We start from the raw sequence: 3,533 nt of genomic DNA, 5'->3' as shown, positions 1-3,533 counted from the left end.
CACAAGAACTTCACAATGCAACCACAAATATCAATAGCCGAATAGACCAAGTGGAGGAAAGAATTTCAGAGCTTGAAGACTATCTTGCTGAAATGAGACAGGCAGATGAAATTAGGAAAAAAAAAAAAAAAGAATGAAAAGGAACAAACGAAATCTCTGAGAACTATGGGATTATAGAAAAAGACCAAACCTACAACTGATTGGGGTACCTGAAAGAGACAGGGAGAAGAGAACCAAGTTGGAAAACATACTTTAGGATATCATCCAGGAGAACTTCCCCAACCTAGCAAGACGGGCCAACGTTCCAATTCAGGAAATCCAGAGAATTCCTGTAATATACCCCGTGAGAAGATCAACCCCAAGACACATATTTATTTACCTCCAAGGTCAAAATGAAGGAAAAAATGTTAAGGGCAGCCAAAGAGAAAGGCCAGATCACCTACAGAAAGAAGGCCATCAACCTAACAGTGGACCTCTCAGCAGAAACACTACAAGCCAGAAGAGATTGGGGCTCAATATTCCACATTCTTAAAGGAAAGAATTTCCAACCCAGAATTTCATGTCTGCCCAAATTAAGCTTCCTAAGTGAAAGAGAAAATCCTTTTCAGACAACCAAATCCTGAGGCAATTCATCACCTCCAGGCCTGCCTTGCAAGAGCTCTTGAAGGAAGCACTAAATATGGAAAGGAAAAACCATTAATGGCCACTACAAAAACACACTGAAGTACAAAAACCAATGACACTATGAAGCAACTACATCAGCAAGTATGCAAAATAGCCAGCTAGCATCACGATGACAGGATAAACTTCACACATAACAATATTAACCTTAAATATAAATGGGCTAAATGCCCCAATTAAAAGACACAAAATGTCAAGCTGAATAAAGAGTCAAGACCCATCAGGTCCTGTATTCAAGAGACCCATCTCATGTGCAAAGACACACATAGGCTCAAAATAAAGAGATGAAGGAAAATTTACGAAGCAAATGGAAAGCAGAAAAATGCAAGAATTGCAATCCTGGTTTCTGACACAACAGACTTTAAACTAACAAAGAAAAAAAAATTAAGAAGGGCATTACATAATGGTAAAGGGTTCAATTCAACAAGAAGAGCTAACTATCCTAAATATATATTCACCCAACACAGGAGTACCCAGATTCATAAAACAAGTTCATAGAGACCTACCAAGAGACTTAGACTCCCACACAATAATAGTGGGAGAATTTAACACCCCGCTGTCAATATTAAACAGATCATTGAGACAGAAAATTAACAAAGATACTCAGGACTTGGACTCAGCTGTAGATCAAGTGGACCTGATAGATATCTACAGAACTCTCCACCCAAAACAACAGAATATACATTCTTCTCAGTGCCACATGGCACTTACTCTCAAATCCATGACATAATTGGAAGTAAAACACTCCTCAGCAAATGCATAAGAACTGAAATCATAACAGTCTCTCAGACCATAGCACAATCAAATTAGAACTCAAGATTAAGAAACTCACCCAAAACCACACAACTACATGGAAACTAAACAACCTGCTCCTGAATGTCTACTGGGTAAATAATGAAATTAAGGCAGAAATCAAGAAGTTCTTTGAAACCAAGGATAACAAAAAGACAACGTACCAGAATCTCTGGGATGCAGCTAAAGCAGTGTTAAGAGGGAAAGGTATAGCACTAAATGTCCACAACAAAAAGCTAGAAAGATCTCAAATTGACACTGTAACATCACAACTAAAAGAACTAAAGAACCAAGAGCAAAAAAACCCTAAAGCTAGAAGAAGACAAGAAATAACCAAGATCAGACTGGAACTGAAGGAGATGGAGACATGAAAAATCCTTAAAAAAAATCAACTAATCCAGGAGCTGGTTTTTTGAAAAAATTTATAAAATAGACTACTAGCTAGACTAATAAACAAGAAAAGAGAGGAGAATCAAACAGACACAATAAAAAAATGATAAAGTAGATATCATAACTGATCCCACAGAAATGCAAGCAACCATTAGAGAAAACTATAAACACCTCTATGCAAATAAACTAGAAAATTTAGAAGAAATGGATAAATTCCTGTATATATACACCCTCCCATGACTGAATCAGAAAGAAGTTGAATTCCTGAATAGAACAGTAACAAGTTCTGAAATTGAGGCAGTAAGAAATAGCCAACCAACAAAAAAAAGTCTAGGACCAGATGGATTTACAGCTGAATCCTACCAGAAGTATAAAGAGAAGCTGGTACCATTTCTTCTGAAATTATTCCAAACTATAAAAGGAGACTATCCTCCCTAACTCATTTTATGAGGCCAGCATCATTCTGATACCAAAACCTGGCAGAGATAAAACAAAAAAAGAAACTTCAGGCCAATATTCCTGATGAACATCAATGCAAAAATCATCAATAAAATACTGGCAAACTAAATCCAGCAGCAAATCAAAAAGCTTATCCACCACAATCAAGTCAGCTTCATCCCCAGGATGCAAGGCTGGTTCAATGTATGCAAATCAATAAGCATAATTCATCACATAAACAGAACTAAAAACAAAAACCACAAGATTATCTCAATAGATGCAGAAAAGGCCTTCAGTAAAATTCAGCATCCTTTCATGTTAAAAACTCTCAATAAACTAGGTATTGATGGAACACACCTCAAGATAATAAGAGCCATTTATGACAAACCCACAGCAATATCATACTGAATGGGCAAAAGCTGGAAGCATTCCCCTTGAAAACTGGCATAAGACAAGGATGCTCTCTCTCACCACTCCTATTCAACATAGTATTGGAATTTCTGGTCAGGGCGATCAGGCAAGAGGAAAAAACAGAGGATTCAAATAGGAAGAGAGAAAGTTAAACTGCCTCTGTTTGCAGATGACATGATCCTATACCTAGAAAACCCCATTGTCTTGGCCCAAAAGCTTCTTAAGCTGATAAATAACTTCAGCAAAGTCTCAGGATACAAAATCAATATGCAAAAGTCACAAGCATTCCTGTCCAAAAACCATAGACAAGCAGAGAGCCAAATCATGAATGAACTCCCATTCACAATTGCTACAAAGAGAATAAAATACCTAGGAATACAGCTAACCAGGGAAGTGAAGGACCTCTTCAAGGAGAACAACAAACCACTGCTCAAGGAAGTCAGAGAGGACACAAACAAATGGAGAAATATTCCAAGTTAATGGAGAAGAAGAATCAATATTGTGAAAATGGCCATACTGCCCAAATTAATTCATAGATTCAATGCTATTCCCATTCAACTACCTCAGACCTTCTTCACAGAATTAGAAAAAACTACTTTGAAATTCATATAGAACAACAACAAAAAAAGCCCGTGTAGCAAAAACAATCTTAAGCAAAAAGAACAATACATATTACCCAACTTCAAACTCTACTACAAGGCTACAGTAACCAAAACAGCATGGTACTGGTACAAAAACAGACACATAGGGCAATGAAACAGAATAGAGATCTCAGAAATAAGACTGCACATCTACAACCATCTGATCTTCAACAAACCTGG

Source organism: Homo sapiens, chromosome 4 (genome assembly GCF_000001405.40).
Source record: "Homo sapiens chromosome 4, GRCh38.p14 Primary Assembly".
Lineage (NCBI taxonomy): Eukaryota > Metazoa > Chordata > Mammalia > Primates > Hominidae > Homo > Homo sapiens.
The sequence above is the reverse complement of the archived record's forward strand: the minus strand, read 5'-3'. Positions refer to the sequence as shown.